We start from the raw sequence: 22,362 nt of genomic DNA on the forward strand, positions 1-22,362 counted from the left end.
TCTTTACTAAAAATACAAAATAATTAGCAGGGCGCGGTGATGCGCACCTGTAATCCCAGCTACTCAGGAGGCTGAGGCAGGAGAATCGCTTGAACCTGGGAGGCTGCAGCGAGCCAAGATCACGCCATTGCACTCCAGCCTGGGTGACAAGAATGAGACTCCATCTCAAAAAAAAAAAAAAAACACAGAAATTCTTCCGTAAAGAAATTCCCTGGCAGGGCGCGTTGGCTCACGCCTGTAATCCCAGCACTTTGGGAGGCCGAGGCAGGCGGATCACCTGAGGTTGGGAGTTCGAAACCAGCCTGACCAACAAGGAGAAACCCCATCTCTACTAAAAATATAAAATTAGCCAGGCGTAGTGGTGCATGCTTGTAATCCCAGCTGCTCGGGAAGCTGAGGCAGGAGAATTTCTGGAACCCAGGAGGCAGAGATTGCAGTGAGCCGAGATCGCACCATTGCACTCCAGCCTGGGCAACAAGAGCAAAACTCCATCTCAAAAAAAAAAAAAAAAAAAAAAAAGAAATTCCCTGACCTACCTTGTCATAAGACCCTCATTTCAGAAGGGGTCCTGCTCCATCCCTTGGAGTAAGAAATGCTGCACAGAGAGGCCAAGAAGAATCTGAACAGACGGGCCTTGCGGGGGTTCCACACTTCGTCTAGTAATATTAGATCAGATCCTTTTTGCCCATTCACAGTTCTACACAGAGGTCAATCATGCCGGCATAATAAAGTCCCCATAAAAGGCCCCAGGGGATTGGGTTTGGGCAGCTTCTGAGATAGCTGAACACATGGCTGTCCTGAAGGATGGTGCTCCCAGGTGGGAGGGGAAGCTCTGCATCTCTTCCCCATAACCCGCCCTAAACATCTCTTCATCTGTATGTTTTATAACATCCTTTATAATAGACCAGTACACACAAATGTTTCCCTGACTTCTGTGAGCCACTCTAACAAATTAACTGAACCCAAAGAGGGGTCGTGGGATCCCCAACTTGAAGTCCAGAGGCTCAGACTTGCAACTGGTGTGGAGGGAGAGGGGAGTCAGGGAGAGGGAGCTCAGGAGTTCGAGACCAGCCTGGCCAACATGGTGAAATCCTGTCTCTACTAAAAATACAAAAATTAGCCAAGCGTGGTGGCACACACCTGTAAGCCCAGCTACTCTGGAAGCTGAGAAAGGAGAATTGCTTGAATCCAGGAGGTTGCAGTGAGCCGAGATTGTGCCACTGTACTCCAGCCTGGGTGACAGAGTGAAACTCTGCCTCAAAAAAGGAGAAAAAAGAGGCCTGGCGTGGTGGCCCACACCTGTAATCCCAGCACTTTGGGAGGTTGAGGTGGGTGGCTTACCTGAGGTCAGGAGCTCGAGACCAGCCTGGCCAACACAGAGAAACCCCGTCTCTACTAAAAATACAAAAATTAGCTGGGCGTGGTGGTGCGCACCTGTAATCCCAGCTACTCGGGAGGCTGAGGCAGGAGAATCACTTGAACCTGGGAGGCAGAGGCTGCAGTGAGCCGAGATCGGGCCATTGCACTCCAGCCTGGGCAATAGAGTGAGACTGCATCTCAAAAAAAAGAAAAGAAAAAGAAAAAAGAAAAAAGATGCATGGTTAAGTGGGTGGATGGGTGAGGAGGTGGAGGGAGGGGTGGGTGCATGGATGGTGGATCAGCAGGAGGAATTGCTCATCATAGAGCCCCAAAGGGTGGGTATCTTCAGGGCCCCAATCTGGTGCAGCACGGCCCCTCCCTCCATCCCTCCTGCCCCCTCCCTGGCTTATCATCCCAGCCTTTTGAACCAGGAAGCCTCCGTCTCAGGGCCACGCCAACTTATGCACGTGTGGTGCTGGGTGGATTTACAGAAAAGATCATCAGGTTCTGTGTCCACCTTCTTATAAGTGGCAAGAAGATTTTCCATCTCTGTGTCTTTAGAAATTGAAGATATAAACCAAGCTGCTTCTGTGACTTGGGTGGTCCTTGAGTGCTCTTCCTCAGAGACAGGTGACCTGAGTCCTGAGTGCAGTTCCTTCTCCCTGGCCCAGGCCACACAGTCTTTCCATGGATAGTGGAGCCTTTTTTTTTTTTTGAGACAGAGTCTCGCTCTGTTGCCCAGGCTGGACTGCAGTGGTGCAATCTCGGCTCACTGTGACCTCCACCTTCCAGGTTCAAGTGATTCTCCTGCTTCAGCCTCCCAAGTAGCTGGGATTATAGGCACCCGCCATCACGCCCGACTAATTTTTGTATTTGTAGTAGAGACGAGGTTTCACCATGTTGGCCAGGCTTTTCCTGAACTCCTGACCGCAGGTGATCTGCCTGCCTTGGCTTCCCAAGGTGCTGGGATTACAGGCGTGAGCCACAGCGCCTGACCTGAGCCTTCTGCATCTTAATCACCCAGTCACAGCTGTCCATGCGGGCGGGTACCTGGGGATGGTGAGGAGAGGCTAAAACAACAGAAGCAATGAAGCAACGCTGCTCACCCCAGCATTCCCACCCCACCCCCAGCTTCTGGCAGGATTATATCTGCCAAGGACAGGACTATATCCGCCTCAATCTTTGTGTTTGCCAAGCAGGGAGAGGAGCATTTATCCATCTCTAATGTGGTAAACAACCAAAGGAGGTCCCCCGCCAAGTGCAGCCCTAGTCGCAGGAGCACACCCACTCCCAAGGCTTCTGATCCACCCTGAGCACCTATGGCCACTGGAAACCCCCACTCTTACTGAAGTCTGTCCCTGGGGGCAATCCCCTTCCTCTCACAGTTGGCCCCAGCTCTGCCCTGGGCCACACAGATTCTGCTGCCATCACTGCTTTTCTGATGATTGCAGTCTCAGGACCATCTGGGCTGCCTCCCCGCAGCACCCCGTACATATACAAGCCTCCTTCCTCAAGGGGAAACACCTATGAGCCCCCAGGGCCTCATCTCCCAGAATCAGAATCCAAAGGATTCCAGAAGCAGCTTGGTTTAAATGGACATTTTCCTGAAGGCCAAAATCAACAGGTACAGGCCTTCAGGGAAATGTCCATTTCAGAAGCTGACCCTTTATTTTTAGGATGGGAGCAGGACCTAGGTGCCGTAATACCCTTGCAGGTCAAGTTCACAACCCCCGAGACCCACCAACCAGAGCGGTCATGAATTCTCCCCTAATTCCCAGAGCCCCTGGGGAGACCATGGGCTGCAGGAGAGCAGATGAGACTGTGGCTGGGTGTCCAGAGCTGCTGCCTGCTCCGGCACCTTCATGGAATGGCATTGGCCTCAAGTCCTCGCTGCCTCTTACTGGCTGTGTGACCTTGGGCAGGCCAGGTAGCCTCAGCTTCCTAGAGAATGTATGTAATGGGCTTGGCATACAGAATATGGCACATAGTAGGTACTCAACTATTATTATTCTGTATTTAATAGCTAATTGGCTGGCATTTGCTCAGCACTCTGCATACATTGGGCCATTGCGAGGTCTCTCGCCTGCATCTTAGTTTGCTAATTAGGTGCTTATCTGGGACCTTCCTGGAGCAGGCATTCTCTGCTCCATTCTCTCCTCTGTACGCGTGACAGCCCCAACCCTTGTTCCCCCAGCAGGAGCAAAAGGGGTTGGGTATGATGACCTCCAGCTCAATGTCTAAGGATCTCTGGGTTTCAGTTTCCCCCTCGGCCAGCTCCTCCTGCCCCTACCAGCCACCTCCCAAGCTGGGGATTTCACTGGCCCACCTTTGTTCCCTGCAGAATCCTAGAGTCCTCCAGCCCTTCCCTCTCTGGCCTTCACACTCCACATCCTCAGCCCAGCACAGGAGCCAATTTTGCAAAGAGGTAAAGAGACCTCACCACTGCTGCACCAGTCTGTCCATTTCCTAGCAGGCAACTGGCACTTGTTTGGTTTTATAAATTAAGGTTTCGATTCTTGGCCAGGCGCGATGCCTCACACCTGTAATCCCAGCACTTTGGGAGGCCAAGGGTGGTGGATTACCTGAGGTTAGGAGTTCAAGATCAGCTCTGCCAACATGGTGAAACCCCATCTCTACTAAAAATACAAAAATTAACCGGGCATGGTGGCTCATGCCTGTAATCCCAGCTACTCAGGAGGCTGAGGCACAAGAATCATTTGAACCCAGGAGGTAGAGGTTGCAGTGAGCCAAGATGGCACCACTGCACTCCATCCAGCCTAGGAGACAAAGCAAGACTCCTTCTCAAAAAAAAAAAAACAAAACAGTTTCAATTCTTGTATAATATGTTGCTAGTGGGAATGTAAAATGTTGCAGCTGCTATGATAAATAGTTTGGCAGTTCCTCAAAAAGCTAAACATGGAATTACCCTATGATCTAGCAATTCTACTCCCAAGTATGCACATACCCAAAGGAATCGAAAGCAGGAACTCAAACTAATATTTGTAAACCAATGTTCATAGCAACATTATTCATCAGACCAAAGGTGGAAATACCCAAGCATCTACCAACAGATGAAAGGAGCTAACGGCCCGGCGCGGTGGCTTATGCCTGTAATCCTAGCACTTTGGGAGGCTGAGGCAGGAGGATCACGAGGTCAGGAGATCAAGACCATCCTGGCTAACACAGTGAAACCCTGTCTCTACTAAAAAATACAAAAAATTAGCCGGGCGTGGTTGCGGGCGCCTGTAGTCCCAGCTACTCGGGAGGCTGAGGCAGAAGAATGGCATGAACCTGGGAGGCAGAGGTTGCAGTGAGCCGAGATCACGCCACTGCACTCCAGCCTGGGCCACAGAGCAAGACTCTGTCTCAAAAAAAAAAAGAAAAGAAAGAAAGAAAGGAGCTGGGCATGGTGGCTCATGCCTGTAATCCCAACATTTTGGGAGGCTGAGGCAGGAGGACTGATTGAGGCAGGAGTTCGAGACCAGCCTGGGCAACATAGTGAGACCTCATCTCTACAAAAAAAAAATTTTTTTTTAATTAGCCAGGTATGGTGGCACACACCTGTAGTTCCAGCTACTTGAGAGGCTGAGGTGGGAGAATCATTTAAGCTTCAGAGGCCAAGGCTGCGAGCTGTGATTGCACCACCGCACCCTAGCCTGGGCAACAGAGAAAGACCTTGTCTCAAAAAAAAAAAAAAAAAAAGATGAATAGATAAACAAAATGTGGTATATACAAACAGTGGAATTTTTTTTTTTTTTTGAGAGGGAGTCTTGCTCTGTCTTCCAGGCTGGAGTGTAGTGGCATGATCTCGGCTCACTGCCACCTCCGCCTCCCGGATTCAAGCAATTCTCTTCCTCAGCCACCCAAGTGGCTGGGATTACAGACACCCGCCACCATGCCCAGCTAATTTTTGTATTTTTAGTAGAGACGGGGTTTCATCATCTTGGCCAGGCAGGTCTTGAACTCCTGACGTTGTGATCCACCCACATCAGCCTCGCAAAGTGCTGGGATTACAGGCATTGAGAGAAGAGAGACAGATCCTCTCATATTGTGTTATATTGTCTTATACTCAGAAAAGGAAAGAGAAGCAAAACTAAAGGCAGGTAGCCTGGCGCCTAGGAACCAGACCCGAAAGCAAGGAACCAGACCTGAAACCAGGCCTGGGCCTGCCTGACCTAAGCCTGGTAGTTAAAGATCGACCCCTGACCTAACTGGTTATGTTATCTATAGATTCCAGACATTGTATGGAAAGGCATTGTAAAAATCCCTGTCCTGTTCTGTTTCGTTCTGATTATCGATGCATGCAGCCCCCAGTCACATACCCTCTGCTTGCTCAATCCATCACGACTCTCTCATGCGGACCCACTTAGAGTTGTGAGCCCTTAAAAGGGAAACGAATCGCTCACTCAGGGAGCTCGGCTCTTCAGACAGGAGTCTTGCCTGATGCTCCTGGCCGAATAAACCACTGCCTTCTTTAACTCGGTGTCTGAGGAGTTTTGTCTGTGGCTCGTCCTGCTACAGCATGAGCCACCGTGCCCAGCAGACAATGGAATATTATTTAGCTATGAAAAAGGATGAAGTGCTGATACATGCTGCATGCTACAGCATGGATGAAACTTGAAAACATTATGTTCAATGAAAGAAGCCAAACACAAAAGGACAAATATTGTATGATTCTACTCATATGAAATATTTGCAATAGACAATTTATAGAGACAGAAAGTAGATTAGAAGCTATCAGGGGCTGAGGGGATGGGAGAATAGTGGAGTTACTGTTTAATGGGTATAGAGCTTCTGTTTGGGGTGATAAAAAAAGTTTTGGGACTAGATAGTGGTGATGGTTGCACAATGTTATAAATGTAATAAATGCCACAGAATCCTACATTTAAAGATGGTTAAAATTGGCCAGGCGCTCCCCGCCCCGGACGGAGTCTTGCTCTATCACCCGAGCTGGAGTGCAGTGGTGCAATCTCAGCTCACTGCAACTTCCGCCTCCCGGTTCAAGCCATTCTCCTGTCTCAAGAAGGGTGGTTGTCAACGGGGTGGTTTAGATGTTTGAAGAGAGAAAGCATTTACCTCCCCCTGCTGGCCACTAAGAGAACAATATAAATTAGGAAGAAAAACAGCTTTTCAATTGCTAAACCTCTACTTAAAAATATGACAATTAAGACAAGCATGTGATTAAAACACTTCACACAGCTCAAAAGGGCTTTACAGGGAAAAGCAAGTCTCCCTCTTTTCTCAATCCCCACAGCCAATATCTCTCTCATGCTTGTTTCCAGGGATATTCTATGTGCTACGCAGATGAAAACATGCCAGACACTGACTGCGTCTTTTTTTTTTTTTTTTTTTTTTTGGAGATGGAGTCTCTGTCACCCAGGCTGGAGTGCAGTGGTGTGATCTCGGCTCACTGCAACCTCTGCCTCCCGGGTTCAAACAATTCTCCTGCCTCAGCCTCCCAAGTAGCTAGGACTACAGGCGCGTGCCACCACCGCCGGCTAATTTTTTGTATTTTTAGTAGAGACAGGGTTTCGCCATGTTAGCCAGGACGGTCTCAATCTCCTGACCTCATGATCCGCCCACCTCGGCCTCTCAAAGTGCTGGGATTGCAGGTGTGAGCCACCGCGCCTGGCCCTTTTTTTTTTTTTCTCAGACAGGATCTCACTCTGTCACCCAGGCTGGAGAGCAGTGGCAGTGACTCAAACATGGCTCCCTGCAGCCTCAACCCCTTAGGCTCAAATGATCCTCCTGCCTCAGCCCCCCAGGTAGTTGGGACTACAGGTACATGCCACCACATCCGGCTAATTTTTATATTTTTTGTAGAGACATGGTATCGCCATGTTGCCCAGGCTAGTCTTGAACCCCTGGGCTTAAGCGATCCTCCTGCCTTGGCCTCCCAAAGTGCTAGGGTTACAGGCATGAGCCACCATGCCTGGCCTATACTGGCTGTTCTGTACTTTGGTTTTATTCCCTTAACAGCATATCTTGGAAATTGTTCCATCTCAGTGAAACACATTTCTCTTTTTTTTTTTTTGAGCAGAGTCTCGCTCTGTCGCCCAGGCTGGAGTGCAGCGGCGCAATCTTGGCTCACTGCAAGCCCTGCCTCCCGGGTTCACACCATTCTCCTGCCTCAGCCTCCCGAGTAGCTGGGACTACAGGCGCCCGCCACCACGCCCAGCTAATTTTTTGTATTTTTAGTAGAGACGGGGTTTCACCATGTTAGACAGGATGGTCTCAATCTCCTGACCTCATGATCCGCCTGCCTCGGCCTCCCAAAGTGCTGGGATTACAGGCATGAGCCACCGTGCCTGGCCAACACTTTTCTCTTTCTAAAGGCTGGGATGTATTCCACCTTCGACATTTTCAGCCAGTCACCTACTGGTGGACATTTAGGTTGTTTCTAGTCTTTGACTTTTACGAGCAAACCTGCATGATCCTCTGTGAACGTGGCCCTTTGTGCAAGCGTGTCATGATTTCTAGGGGACAACTGAGCGCTGACTTTGTGCATATGCTATCACTTTAACCACATGCCAACCCTTGAAGTAGGTATTACAGTCTCCATTTTACAGAGGAGCAAACTTAGAGAGGTTAGGTAATTTGCCCCAAGTTGCCCAGGAAGTAAGAACCCAGGTCTGAGGGCAGGGTTGACGCTAACCCATCAGTGCTTTTGTGCAAATTAGGAAAAGGTATAACCCACCCCAGGATGAGGGGTTTGGCAGATGGAGGTGAGCTGGATGTCTGGTTGAATGCTTAGCCAGGTGCTATGTGCAGTGCGCAACCTGCCCAACCGTTCACGGTGGCGCTGTGGGGTTCCTGAGTTGTCACCTGAAGGTGAATTGTGGGTTCAGGTCTGGAGGTCAGTGAAAAAGTGATGGATATGAACTGGATAAAGGCCAAGTGTTTGTTTGCATTCATTCCATTCATTCAACCACCATCTCCTGAACCTCTGTGAGTAGGGCCCATGGATATACAGAGAAGCAAGTAGAAATGGCCCCTGACCCAATCCAGCCCTTTCCCAGCAGAAAAAGAGACCCACAGCAAAAGGCAGCCCAAAGGGAAAAGGCGTTTCGTGAGGGCAGAGAAAAGGCCCACAGGCTGGGAGGCAGGTGACAAAGCTCTGGGGCTACTGGTTCTGTGACTTTCAGCAAGCCACTAATCCACTCTGGACTCAAATGAGACTTGGACCAGCACCTTCTAACTGTAGGCTGCCAAAGAGAACAGAACAGAAGATATCAGTATGCCTGGCACGTAGGGTAAGTATTGCCGTGTGAAACTTGATTATGTGTGCGTGTGTGTGCACGCGTGTGCGTGTGTGTGTGTGTGAGTCAGAGATGGAGTTTTTTGTTTTTGTTTTTTACTTCTTGAGACGGAATTTCACTCTTGTTGCCCGGGCTGGAGTGCAGGGTCACAATCTCGGCTCACTGCTACCTCTGCCTCCCGGGTTCAGTGGATTCTCCTGCCTCAGCCTCCCGAGTAGCTGGAACTGCAAGCACACGCCACCACGCCCAGCTAATTTTGTATTTTTAGTAGAGATGCGGTTTCCCCATGTTGGTCAGGCTGGTCTCGAACTCCTGACCTCAGGTGATCCGGCCACCTCGGCCTCCCGAAGTGCTGGGATTACAGGTGTGAGCCACGGCGTCCGGCCTAGTCAGAGATGGATTTTCCATGACGCTAATAGACCTTAAATTCCAGGGCTCCTCCCTTGTCTTGGGAGAGACCTTAGCAAGTGTTCATGTGTTGAACAGTTTGCAAAAGTAAGAGGTTTTTTTGTTTGTTTGTTTGTGTTTGAGATGGAGCTTCACTCTTGTTGCCCGGCTGGACTGCAAGGTCATGATCTCTCTCACTGCAACCTCCACCTCCCAGGTTCAAGCGATTCTCCTGCCTCAGCCTCCCAAGTAGCTGGGATTACAGGCACGCGCCACCATGCCTGGCTAATTTTTTGCATTTTTAGTAGAGATGGGGTTTCTCCATGTTGGTCAGGCTGGTCTCGAAGTCGTGACCTCAGTGATCCGCTCACCTCGGCCTCCCAAAGTGCTGGGATTACAGGCGTGAGCCACCATGACTGGCCCAAAAGTAAGAGTTTTAAGTCACAATCAGGGCTGCTGCTATCTCTTTCCACTGACTTGCTCTCTGTCACACTTCCCCTGGGGAAGGGGATACTGAGGTGGCCATAAGCGTTTTTGAGACCCCACTAATGGGTAAGTTGGACATACACTTAATTTAAAGTTTGCCAGGCATGGTGGCTCACACCTGTAATCTCAGCACTTTGGGAGGCTGAGGTGGGTGGATCACTTGAGATCAGGATTTCGAGACCAGCCTGCCTAACATATAGTAAAACCCTGTCTCTACTAAAAATACCAAAAAAAAAAACACAAAAAACAGGCCAGGCGCGGTGGCTCACACCTGTAATCCCGGCACTTTGGGAGACCGAGGTGGGCAGATCACGCGGTCATATCGAGACCATCCTGGCCAACATGATGAAACCCCATCTCTACTAAAATACAAAAAATTAGCTGGGCGTGGTGGCGCACGCCTGTAGTCCCAGCTACCTGGGAGCCTGAGGCAGGGGACTCACTTGAACCCGAGAGGCGGAGCTTGCAGTGAGCCGAGATCGTGCCACTGCACTCCAGCCTAGGCGACAGAGCGAGAGTCCGTCTAAAAATAAATAAATAAATAAATAAGTAAAAATTAGCCGGGCATGATGATGGGCACCTGTAATCCCAGCTACTCAAGAGGCTGAGGCAGGAGAATCACTGGAACCCAGGAGGTAGAGGTTGCAGTGAGCCGAGATCACGCCACTGCACTCCAGCCTGGGCAACAGAATGAGACTCCGCCTCAAAAAAAAAAAAATTGAAATCAGTGGGTTATAGTTATAAGGTTCACAGTCACTTCTGTGACTAGTTACGTGATTGCCAGTGGCCCTAGTGTAGGAATGGCTTCCAGAAATACTCCTGGAACCCCCCTGACACATCTGGCATCCTGACCTAAAGGTGCAGGGACAGGGGTCACTCTATGACCACGGTATACATCCTAGATGCCCGACATGGGAAGAATGTGGTCCTGGGAGGAGAAACAAGGTCTGCATTGTAGGGAAGCAGAAGCTAGTCTGTAGAAAATTCTTCCAATTATCAGATGCATTAAATTATAAATGGATGATTCAGTTCCCATTGATACTTGGTTAGAATAGAACTCCTGCCTATTGCGAACATAGTTAATAACGTTGCATATGTAATTACAAGTGTACCACGCAAGATTTGGTTTTTTGTTAGAAAGCATATGCAGTCGAATTGATCAGAATGCTTTTGCAGAGCACAAACCTGAAGCAGTACTGCAAACAGCAAATGTTTCTACACCTCGTGATTTACACGGCATGACACACGAGCTGTGTCTCAGCATGTAACACATTACCAACAACACAATATGACACTGAGAAAAACTTTCCTAAAATAAAAAAGTAAAAAACATTTTTTGATCAACCATGCCAGAAAGCTGACTTGTCTTTCCCTTTATAGAAAATATAATCTGGAGGCTGGGCGCGGTGGTTCACGCCTGTAATCCTAGCAATTTGGGAGGCTGAGGCAGGCGGATCACCTGAGGTCGGGGGTTTGAGACCAGCCAACGTGGTGAAATCCCGTCTCTACTAAAAATACAAAAATTATCCAGGCGTAGTGGCAGGCACCTGTAATCCCAGCTACTCGGGAGGCTGAGGCAGAATCGCTTGAACCCAGGAGACAGAGGTTGTAGTGAGCCAAGGTCATGCCACTGCACTCCAGCCTGGGCGACAGAGTGAGACTCTATCTCAAAAAAAAGAAAATATAAGCTGGCCATGGTGGTGCATGCCTATAGTCCCAGCTAGTGGGGAGGCTGAGGCAGGAGGATCCCTTGTTCCCAGAAGTTCGAGGCTGCAGTGAACTTCATGATCATGCCGCTGCACTCCAGCCTGGATGACAGAGTAAGACCTCATCTCTAAAAAAATAAAAATAGAGGCCAGGCGTGGTGGCTCACCCCTGTAATCCCAGCACTTTGGGAGGCCAAGGTGGGCGGTAACTTGAGGCCAGGAGTCTGAGACCAACCCAGCCAACATGGTGAAACCCCGCCTCTACTAAAAATACAAAAATTATCCAGGCGTGGTGGTGCATGCCTGCAGTTCCAGCTACTCGGGAAGCTGAGGCAGGAGAATCGCTTGAGCCCAGAAACTGGAGGTTGTAGTGAGCCAAGGTCGCGCCACTGCACTCCAGCCTGGGTGACAGAGTGAGACTCCATCTCAAAAAAAATAAAAATAAGGCCGGGCGCAGTGGCTCACGCCTGTAATCCCAGCACTTTGGAAGGCCGAGGCGGGTGGATCATGAGGTCAGGAGATCGAGACCATCCTGGCTAACACAATGAAACCCTGTCTCTACTAAAAATACAAAATATTAGCCAGGAGTGGTGGCACGTGCCTATAGTCCCAGCTACTCAGGAGGCTGAAGCAGGAGAATCGCTTGAACCTAGGAGGCAGAGGTTGCACTGAGCTGAGATTGCGCCACTGCACTCCAGCCTGGGGGACAGAGCAAGCCTCCATCTCAAAAAATAAATAAATAAATAAAAATTAAAATAGAAAATAAAATAAAATAAAATCATTGCTACATAACAAGCACGTGGCCCAAAATTGTAGGAAAAAAATGTATTACAGTGGCATGTCAGGTGCTTAAGTAAAAATATCTTATTGTTCTGATTTAATAATTATGGTATTTGCCAACATTTTAAAGTTTTTTATCTATTTCTCACTCTAAATAAATACATAAGCAGGGCGTGGTGGCTCACGCCTGTAATCCCAGCACTTTGGGAGGCCGAGGTAGGTGAATCACCTGAGATCAGGAATTCGAGACCAGCCTGACCAATATGGAGAAACCCCGTCTCTACTAAAAATACAAAATTAGCCGGGCCTGGTGGCGCATGCCTGTCATCCCACCTACTCAGGAGGCTGAGGCAGGAGAATCGCTTGAACCTGGGAGGCGGAGGTTTTGGTGAGCCGAGATCATGCCATTGCACTCCAGCCTGGGCAACAAGAGCGAAACTCTGTCTCAAAAAAATAAATAAATAAATACATAATTTTGCATCAGTCATTTTATATCCTTTTTTCTTAGAGTTTCCCCAATTTTTTACAAATTTCAGGCTCCACGAAATCTGAATTCATCCCATCCTGATGTAAAACATATTTCTTAAATTGGAAATCTGCCACAAAATATCAAAAAGCTCTGGACTAGATAGATGATCTCAAAGATTTCTTTTTCTTTTTTCTTTTTTTTTTTTTTTTGAGATGAAGTTTCACTCTGCCACTCATGCTGGAGTGAAGTGGCGCGATCTCGGCTCACTGCAACCTCCATCTCCTGGGTTCAAGCGATTCTCCCACCTTTGCCTCCCTAGTAGCTAGGATTACAGGCACGCAACCAACACGCCTGGCTAATTTTTTTTTCTTTTTTTGTATTTTTAGTACAGACGGGGTTTCACCATGTTGGCCAGGCTGGTCTCAGATTCCTGGCCTTAAGTGATCCGCCTGCCTGGTCCTCCCAAAGTGCTGAGATGACAGGTGTGAGCCACTGCGCCTGGCCCAATCTCAAAGATTTCTTCCCGCTCTAGAATTCTCTAACTCTGTGAGAACTGCATTCTGATCCCCTCCCCCCAGCAGCTGCAACTCTAACAGAAAGACAAGGAAGTTCTTCCTTGGAGCTGATCCAAGTCTTTCCTGCTGTCCTTGAAGTCCTTGTCCTGCAGGGAGGCAGGGAGACAAAGTGCCAGTGTGCAGGGCTGTAGGCAAGCCAAGGCAGGGAGAAGTGAAGACAGGTGCTTTGAAGCTATATGCTCTAGGAGAAGAGAAGGAAAAGGGTAGGACCAAAGCCCTAAACCTAGAGAATGGAACTGACGGCCTCTCCCAGTATACCAATAGCAGCCACCATTTGGAGCCTTTTTTTTTTTTTTTTTTTTGACACAGTACCTAGCTCTGTTGCCCAGGCTGGAGTGCAGTGGCACGATCACAGCTCACTGTAGCCTCAACCTCCTGGGTCCAGCCATCCTCCTACCTCAGCCTCTCAAATAGCTGGGACCACAGGCATGCACCACCATGACGGGCTAATTTTTAAAATTTTTTTATGGAGACAGGGTCTTGCCATGTTGCCCAGGCTGGTGGAGGCTTCTTTATTTAGAACTTATAGAGTGCCAGCCAGGCGCGGTGGCTCACGCCTGTAATCCCAGCACTTTGGGAGGCCCAGGTGGGTGGATCACTAGGTCAGGAGATCGAGACCATCCTAGCTAACACGGTGAAACCCTGTCTCTACTAAAAATACAAAAAATTAGCCGGGCGTGGTGGCGGGCGCCTGTAGTCCCAGCTACTCGGGAGGCTGAGGCAGGAGAATGGCATGAACCCGGGAGGTGGAGCTTGCAGTGAGCCAAGATCACGCCACTGCACTCCAGCCTGGGCGACAGAGTGAGACTCCATCTCAGAAAAAAAAAAAAAAAGAATTTATAGAATGCCTACCGCGTGCTAGGTAATGTACGTGTAACTTCCTTTTTTTGTTTGTTTTTGTTTTGAGACAGAGCCTCCTCTGTCTCCCAGCCTGGGGTGCAGTGGCTCAATCTCAGCTCACTGCAACCTCCGCCTCCCGGGTTCAAGCGATTCTCCTGCCTCAGCCTGCCGAGTAGCTGGGATTACAGGCACGTGCCATCATGCCCGGCTAATTTTTGTATTTTTGTAGAGACAGGGTTTCACCATGTTGGCCAGGCTGGTCTTGAACTCCTGACCTCAGGTGATCTGCCCGCCTCAGCCTCCCAAAGTGCTGAGATTTCAGGCATGAGCCACCGTGCCCGGCCATGTACATGTTATTTCTAACCTCCCAGCAACCGAGGTTGGAGAGGTGAAGTGACTTACCCGAAGTCACACAGCTCTGCACTCTCCTGTCCTGCACTTCTTTCCCTCCAGCATTGCCATGCTCCCCAGTTCTAAAGATTTTATTTAGCAGGCTGGGCGAGGTGGCTCAAGCCTGTAATCCCATCACTTTGGGAGGCCAAGGCGGGCGGCTCACTCGAGGTCAGGAGTTTGAGACCAGCCTGGCCAACATGGTGAAGCCCCGTCTCAATGAAAAATACAAAAAACAGGGCTGGGCCTGGTGGCCCATGCCTGTAATCCCAGCACTTTCGGAGGCCGAGGTAGGTGGATCACCTGAGGTTGGGAGTTTGAGACCAGTCTGACCAACATGGAGAAACCCTTTCTCTACTAAAAGTACAAAAATTAGCTGGCGTGGTGGCGCATGCCTGTACTCCCAGCTACTCGGGAGGCTGAGGCAGAAGAATCACTTAATCCCGGGAGGCAGAGGTTGCAGTGAGCCGAGACTGTGCCACCGCACTCCAGCCTGGGTGACAGAGCAAGACTCCATCTCAAAAATAAATAAATAATTTTTAAAAATACAAAAAAATTAGCCGGGCGCGGTGGCTCGTGCCTGTAATCCCAGCTACTCGGGAGGCTGAGGCAGGAGAATTGCTTGAATGTGGGAGACGCAGGTTGCAGTGAGCCGAGATCTAGCCACTGCACTCCAGCCTGAGCCACAGAGTGAAACTCCATCTCAAAAAAAAAAAAAAGATTTTATTTAGCAAACACCATCTCCCCCAACCCACCTTTGGGGAGGAAATTCCTCCTCATTCTCCATTCACTGCCCCTTCTGTCTCACACTCATTCAGCCACCTGTCGGGTAATTGGTCCCTCGCCCTCCTCTGCAGCACTTTGAATAAACCCACACAGGACTTCGGACAGCCCCACCAGCCTACAGCTTCTTGGCTGATTGTCTTTGTGGCACCATCCAATCTGAAAGTATATTGTTCATTTACGGGCTGAGTAATTTACTTGAATGTAAATTCTACCAGGGCAGGGGCTTGCCTCTCTTATTCCCCCCAACTTCCTCCCCTGTCCTGCCACAGGACTTGGCACAAGGTGGGCGCTGAATCATTAATTGCTTTCTTGTGTAACCTCGACCTCAGAGTCATGCTGTAAACTCCAAGTGCTAGAGCACAAGAATGAAAAGTAGCAACTGTCCATCAGCCAACTAACACGGGGCAGTATTTGCATATTGTCTTCCCATTGATGAAATCCGCTGTCTCTAGTTTCCTTCTGGCCAGTGGGGTAAGGGCATAGTATCCGCCTCAGTGTCCACGCCCCTGTAATTTACATCTTCCTACCCAATGAAAAGGTGTCCGGGGGTGGGGAAAAGGGAGTTGCTCAGACTCTTCATTCCCCAGCCCCTTCTGTCCCCTAACTGGTTGGCACACAATTCAGTCACTGGCAAACATGACCCCATCCGGTACACCTGAGCACCTAGAGTAGGGAGAGGCTGATATTATGAAGAGCTGGGGCAGAGGAGGCTGGGGACTAGAGTCCCACTCTGCAGCAGAGATGGTCCACACCATGTAGTCAGACCTTGAGGTGAATCTACATAAGCTCTTCTCAGATCTAAGGTCCTTGGGGAGCTAGAGCAGGCAGGAACAGTTGGCTTGGGGAGCATGAGGTGGACTGAGCAGAGGTTAAGGTTCTCTAACTTTGGGCAGACATTCCTGGGCCGGCTAACTGCAGCCTTGACCTCCTGGGCTCAAGCGATCCTCCTGCCGTATCGAGTAGCTGGGACTATAGTTGCATACCACCACACTCAGCGCTGAGCTAATTCTTTTTTTTTTTTTTTCTGGTTGCCTAGACTGGTCTCAAACTCCTGAGCTCAAGTGATCCTCCTGCCTTGGCCTCCCAAAGTGTTTGGATTACAGTCGTGAGCCCCCTGTGCCTGTGCCCAGCCTCTCCAAGGGGCTTTTACATGGTGGTCACCCAGAGAAAACCAGCAGGGTAGAGCCTGCAGCACCTTGGAAATCAAGCAGAACTTGGCCCCAGCTCCCCATTTATGGCTTCAGGCAAGAGTTTCTGTAACCTCACTGGCCCTCTACTTTCCTCCTCTGTAATTTGAGAAGACTAATAACTATCTTAAAGTACTGGTATGATATAAATGAAAAAGCCATGGCACATAATGGATGAGTCAATAAATGGTAGCAAATTATCCTGATTTGGAATCAGATCAAAGGTAGTGAAATGAACTGTCACATGGGAGATTCCCACCTGCCCCCCAATCTTCCCAGGACATGGAAAAGCCCAATGAACAAATCCATTTCATTAGTGGCCACAGTCCCCTCACTCCCACCCTGAAATGGCCCAGATTTCCCTTGCAGCAGATTTTTTTTTTTTTTTTTTGAGATCTCACTCTGTTGCCCAGGTTGAAGTGCAGTGGCATAATCATGGCTCACTGTAGCCTCAACCTCCTGGACTTAATCCATCCTCCCACCTCAGCCTCCCTAGTAGCTGGGGCCACTGGCAGGCGCCATCATGCCTCGCTAATTTTTTTTTTTTGAGACAGAGTCTCACTGTGTTGTCCAGGCTGGAGTGCAGTGGCACAATCTCAGCTCACTGCAACCTCCGCCTCCCAGGTTTCAAGCAATTCTCCTGCCTCAGCCTCCCAGATAGCTGGGATTACAGGCATGCATTACCAAGCCCGGCTAATTTTTTGTATTTTTAGTAGAGATGGGGTTTCACCATATTGGCCAGGCTGGTCTCGAATTTCTGACCTCAGGTGATCTGCCCACCTCGGCCTCCCAAAGTGCTGGGATTACAGGAGTAAGCCACTGTGCCTGGCCATGCCTGGCTAATTTTTTAAATTTTTTGTAGAGACGGGGTCTTGCTGACCTTGTAGCAGGTCTTATTTTTGCTGTCCCATTGTTTCAGGCAATCTAGATTTTGGGGGAAAGGCTTAACTGCAAACAACCAATGAGATAATCTTCTGTAACACAGGCATTTATATATTTGTACTGAATTATATTTCTTTTCATCTTAAACATCATTTTCTTTTTTAATTTTATTTATAATAAATAAATATTTATTATAATTTTTTTTTTTTTTTTTTGGAGACGGAGTCTCGCTCTGTCACCCAGGCTGGAGTGCAGTGGTGTGATCTTGGCTCACTGCAACCTCCGCCTCCCGGGTTCAAGCGATTCTCCTGCCTCAGCCTCCTGAGTAGCTGGGATTACAGGCTTACACCACCACGCCCAGCTAATTAGTAGAAACGAGGTTTCACCATGTCGGTCAGGCTGGTCTTGAACTCCTGACCTCGTGATCCACCCACCTCGGCCTCCCAAAGTGCTGGGATTACAGGTGTGAGCCACTGCACCCAGCCAACATGATTCTTTTCAATTAAGATAATTTATTAAATTCACCGGGAAATAGAGCTAAATTTTAATACTTTGTGAGCCTTTTATTGTGTAAATTCACACATTTTGGCAATGATGTTGGTTACACCACTTGGCCCAGATCGGATTCAGAAAATAGAGCCCTTCTCCCTGTCCCCTGCACACATACATGAGGAGTTGAATACATCCATTCCGTAGGCTCTGTCATCTTTCTGATGTCTGCTCTCTCCCAGTCAGCAGCAGCATCTGGAATCATGGCTCCTGGGATCATGCATGAACTTTGGGTGCAGAGAATCAAGCTTGAGTTCAAATTCTGCTTTCTGTCTTCTTAGCTGTGTGACCTCAGGACCTTTGCACTTGCTGTCTGCGTAGTCACCCTTTCTACCGCTGGCTCCTTCTCAGCTTAAATATCAACTCCAACAGGCCTGTCCAGGCCACTTCCCATATGGCCTCTACTCTCTCACACTAGCCCACTTGGGTCCCTTCGTAATTACCTCCATGTGCTTTGTTTGCTTCCGTGTTTTCTTTTTTTATTCTTTTTTTTTTTTTTTTGAGACTGAGTCTTATTCTGTTGCCCGGGCTGGAGTGCAGTGGCGCAATTTTGGCTCACTGCAACCTCTGCCTCTTGGGTTCAAGCAATTCTCCTGCCTCAGCCTCTTGAGTAGCTGGGACTACAGGCACGCGCCACCACGCCCAGCTAATTTTTTGTATTTTTAGTAGAGACGGGGTTTCACCATGTTTGCCAGGACGGTCTCAATCTCCTGACCTCGTGATCCGTCCGCCTCTGCCTGGCAAAGTGCTGGGATTACAGGCTTGAGCCACTAGCCTTTTTTTTTTTTTTTTTTTTTGAGATGGAGTCTCACTCTGTCGCCCAGGCTGGAGTGCAGTGGCGCGATCTCAGCTCACTGCAACCTCCCAGGTTCAAGGAATTCTTGTGCCTCAGCTTCGCAAGTATCTGGGATTACAGGTGCATACCACCACACCTGGCTAATTTTTGTATTTTTAGTAGAGATGGGGTTTCACCATGTTGAGCAGGCTGGTCTCAAACTCCTGACCTCAAGTGATCTACCCGTCTTGGCCTCCCAAAATGCTGGGATTGTAGGCTTGAGCCACCCCGCCCAGCCTGCTTCTGTGCTTTCCATCCTTTGAAGGCAGGGACTTGCTCTGATGTGGGCTCTTGTGATGGAGACACGTGGGGGCCTTGGCCAACCACATCCTTGCTCAGAGTCTCAGATTTCTCATCTGTAAAACAGGAAGAATAGAATTCAACTCTGAGGTCTGTGGGAATATTAAAGGCGACAATGACAACCATGGTCCTCTGTGCCCCCCTCCCCTGAGGTTCCCATGCCCGGAAGGGACATGCAGGATCTGACTGGAGTCACAGGGGCTGAGGCTGGGGCCACGCCTCAGTTTGTTTCCTGAACCTTCTACAATCCTCCTCCAAGAAAGAATTGCATGTCCTCCCCCATATCTCTCCTCCAAGTTTGCAAGGATGCCCATCTCCCCAGCTCCTATTCCCTCGCCCCAGCCCTCCCTCACCAACGTTTCCAGTGTTCCAGGGGTTTTCTTAGGAAGGAGCTGAGGTGTTAAATCCTTAGAGGTCGGCATGGCTTAGGTGATTATAGCTGAGCTTTACCTGCCCTTCTCAGGGGTTCCTCAAGTCTCTCAAAGCAACACATTTGCTCATGGTGGGGAATGGGTGGGAACGGCTGCCACAGGCATTTCCTCCAAGTTTCCCGTGTTGGTCCTCCTTCCTTTCACCATCTTTAGGTTCCTCCTACCGTACCTCCTACCCTGATCCCCAGTTTGGGCCAGGCCCTTCACGCATAGACACAGCTCCTGAGTCTACCTTATCACGCCCTGCTCCCCAGAACTCAGAGGGACAGCCTAGAGCCTTTGTTACAAGCACAGCCTGGCTCGCCTCTCCAAACCCCCATACTCACTGTGCAATGTTGGGCATATTCATTCATTTATTTGATGCATATTTATTGAATACTTATTGTGTAACAGTTACTGTTTTAGGGCTTGGGGATATATTATTAGTGAAGTAACTAAATAAAATCCATTGCCGTGGTGGAGCTTACATTCTGGTGGGGGAGAGAGACACAAAACACAACAAAGAAATGAAATATGTAGTGGAGATAAGTGCTAAGGAGAAAAGTTCAGCAGAAAAGGTGGTAGGGAACATGTGGTAGGGGATTAATTTTGCAGACACACTTGTTCAAGATCATCCAGAAAGCAGTGAAGTCAGAATTTGCACCTAAATCAAATCTATTTTGTCTTTAAAAGTGACTCCTGACAGCACAGACATGTCCCTAAATGAATGCAGTAAATGCGATGTGAGTTTTATTTCAGTAATAATTCATCTCAGGCTGGGCGTGGTGGCTCACGCCTGTAATCCAAACACTTTGGGTGGTCAAGGCAGGTGGATCACCTGAGGTCAGGGGTTCGAGACCCGCCTGGCCAACATGGCGAAACCCTGTCTCTACTAAAAATACAAAAATTAGCCAGGCATGATGGCGCATGCCTGTAATCCCAGCAACTCAGGAGGCTGAGGCAGGGGAATCGCTTGAACCCAGGAAGCAGAGGTTGCAGTGAGCTGAGATCGTGCCACTGCACTCTAGCCTGGGCGACAGAGTAAAACTCTGTCTCAAAAATAAATATAATAGGCTGGGCGCAGTGGTTCATACCTGTAATCCCAGCACTTTGGGAGGCTCAGGCGGGTGGATTACTTGAGGTCCAGAGTTCGAGACCAGCCTGGCCAACATGGTGAAACCCCGTCTCTACTAAAAATATGAAAAAATTAGCCGGGCGTGGTGGCAGGCGCCGGTAATCCCAGCTACTCGGGAGGGTGAGGGAGGAAAATCACTTGAACCCGGGAGGCAGAGGTTGTGGTGAGCTGAGATCGCGTCACTGCACTCCGGCCTGGGCGACAGAGAGAGACTCCGTCTCAAAAATAAAATAAAATAAAAAAATATATATAATTCATTTCAGTAGTAAAAGACATAAACAAAAAGCTATAAGTATACACTACGTTACAGCTTTTGTTGAGGAATGCAATAAACATACATATCACTTCCCTGTATAATCTCAATGGCCTTTGGGAGAGAATTTAGAAAAGCATCCCAGTCGCTGAATGGTTGAGTTTAGGGGAAAAACTGACCCAGCACAGCCCCCTCATCTCCTGGATGAGGTTACTGCGGTTCCGCAAGGTGAATCGAGGTCAGTCGCCAAGGCAGAACCGGATTCGCCAGATTCCCTAGTCTCAGTGGAGCTTTAACCCTCCCAGGCACAGGACCGCTGGAGAGGTCGCCACGGGCCGGTTTCCCAGCCGGCCGCGAGGGGGCGACAGAGTGCAATGGACCCAGGTGAGTCGGGGACCAGGCGCCGCCAGGTCGTGACGCCACAAGGTGAGGGAGGTCTTTGATGGAGGGAGATACAGGAGAAAAGGCGCCGAGCTTAGGAAGTCTGTTCGTACTGTCCTCCCCGATTCCAGTCTGGCTCCCACTGCTATCTTCCTCCCACTGCTGGACCCTTCTAAAACAAAAGCCTGACTTTGCTACCATCCGTAAAACTGTAACGACACCTCCAACGTTGCTTACAGGGAAAAAAAAAAAAAAGGGCAGCAAAACATGGGACCTGGGTGATCTTGCCCCAGCCTAATTCCAAGATATCTCCTGCAAATAGATATCTATTTGCAGATATCTGGGAGCCGTATTGAAATACTTCCAACTCCCTGGACTCATCCTACTTTTTTTTTTTTTTTTTTTTTTGAGACTGAGTCTCGCTATGCCGCCCAGGCTGGAGTGCAGTGACGCAATCTCGGCTCACTGCAACCTTCACCTCCCGGGTTCAAGCGATTCTTCTGCCTCAGCCTTCTAAGTAGCTGGCACTAAAGGCGCGCCCAGATAATTTTTTTTTTTTTTTTTTTTTAGTAGAGACGGGGTTTCACCGTGTTAGGATGGTTTCGATCTCCTGACCTCGTGATCCGCCCTCCTCGGCCTTCATCCTACTTTTTCTCCCTGAATATCTTTTCGCACCAGCTCTACGTGGAGAAATCCGACTGTCTTTGAGCGAAGTACAGTATCACTTTCTCTTGAAACCTCCCCTGACACGACCCCTCCCCTGACACGACCCCTCCCCTGACAACACCCCCACCCACCCCACCCCAGTTTGGGGGAGGAGCCCCCTCCTTTGTTCCCACTACCCCGTGGGCTTCCCCTATCACACTGTAATAAATATCTGGCCTTGTCTATCTCCTTCTGTGCCCATCACAGAGCAAAGCAAATACAAAGAGTTCATTAAACGTTGGCTGGATGAATGGAGGAGACGGCACAGGGTTCAAGCTCTGCTACTTGTGCGGCCTCAGGCCGACTAATTATCTGGTGGGTTTGTTGTAAGGAGTCAGAACTAAATGGATTAATTACAAATAGTGCTTAGGACAATGCCCAGAATACTGTAAGCACTCAAGAAACTGATTTATTTTCGTCATTTTCACAGCGGCCAAGGTACATGAGGATGTAGCTTATCGCCCTTTTAAGGGACTCTCCCACGTTCGACTCTAAGCGGAAGTACCCGCTCAGGGCTCCGGAAGTGGCCTCAGAGCCCCTCAGCAACATGCCCGCAGAGAATTCTTCCGGAGGCGGTCACAGACATCTCCGTGACGCAGAACGAGTTAGAGCGTCCCTTGGGGTTTCCATGGTGCTGCCCTTAGCCTGCAGTATCTCCACTTCCTCTCCCGCCTGAGCGCCGGGAACG

General features: G+C 49.3%; 5 annotated features.

Annotated features, from left to right (window-relative positions):
- Nucleotides 4,438–4,517: an enhancer, noted in NCBI's record as "active region_18977". NCBI's record gives its function as "activates an Ori minimal core promoter by ATAC-STARR-seq in GM12878 lymphoblastoid cells {active_cell/tissue: GM12878}" and the evidence as "EXISTENCE:reporter gene assay evidence [ECO:0000049][PMID:35858748]".
- Nucleotides 15,282–15,576: a silencer, noted in NCBI's record as "tiled region #7746; HepG2 Repressive non-DNase unmatched - State 1:Tss". NCBI's record gives its function as "represses a minimal TATA promoter and a strong SV40 promoter by Sharpr-MPRA in HepG2 cells {active_cell/tissue: HepG2}" and the evidence as "EXISTENCE:reporter gene assay evidence [ECO:0000049][PMID:27701403]".
- Nucleotides 20,730–21,189: a transcriptional cis regulatory region, noted in NCBI's record as "candidate enhancer chr22.1757 targeted for multiplex CRISPR interference". NCBI's record gives its function as "positively regulates CDC42EP1 gene expression with high confidence in K562 cells {active_cell/tissue: K562}" and the evidence as "EXISTENCE:mutant phenotype evidence [ECO:0000015][PMID:30612741]".
- Nucleotides 21,934–22,013: an enhancer, noted in NCBI's record as "active region_18978". NCBI's record gives its function as "activates an Ori minimal core promoter by ATAC-STARR-seq in GM12878 lymphoblastoid cells {active_cell/tissue: GM12878}" and the evidence as "EXISTENCE:reporter gene assay evidence [ECO:0000049][PMID:35858748]".
- Nucleotides 22,164–22,333: an enhancer, noted in NCBI's record as "active region_18979". NCBI's record gives its function as "activates an Ori minimal core promoter by ATAC-STARR-seq in GM12878 lymphoblastoid cells {active_cell/tissue: GM12878}" and the evidence as "EXISTENCE:reporter gene assay evidence [ECO:0000049][PMID:35858748]".

This window comes from Homo sapiens, chromosome 22 (genome assembly GCF_000001405.40).
Source record: "Homo sapiens chromosome 22, GRCh38.p14 Primary Assembly".
Classification (NCBI taxonomy): Eukaryota; Metazoa; Chordata; class Mammalia; order Primates; family Hominidae; genus Homo; species Homo sapiens.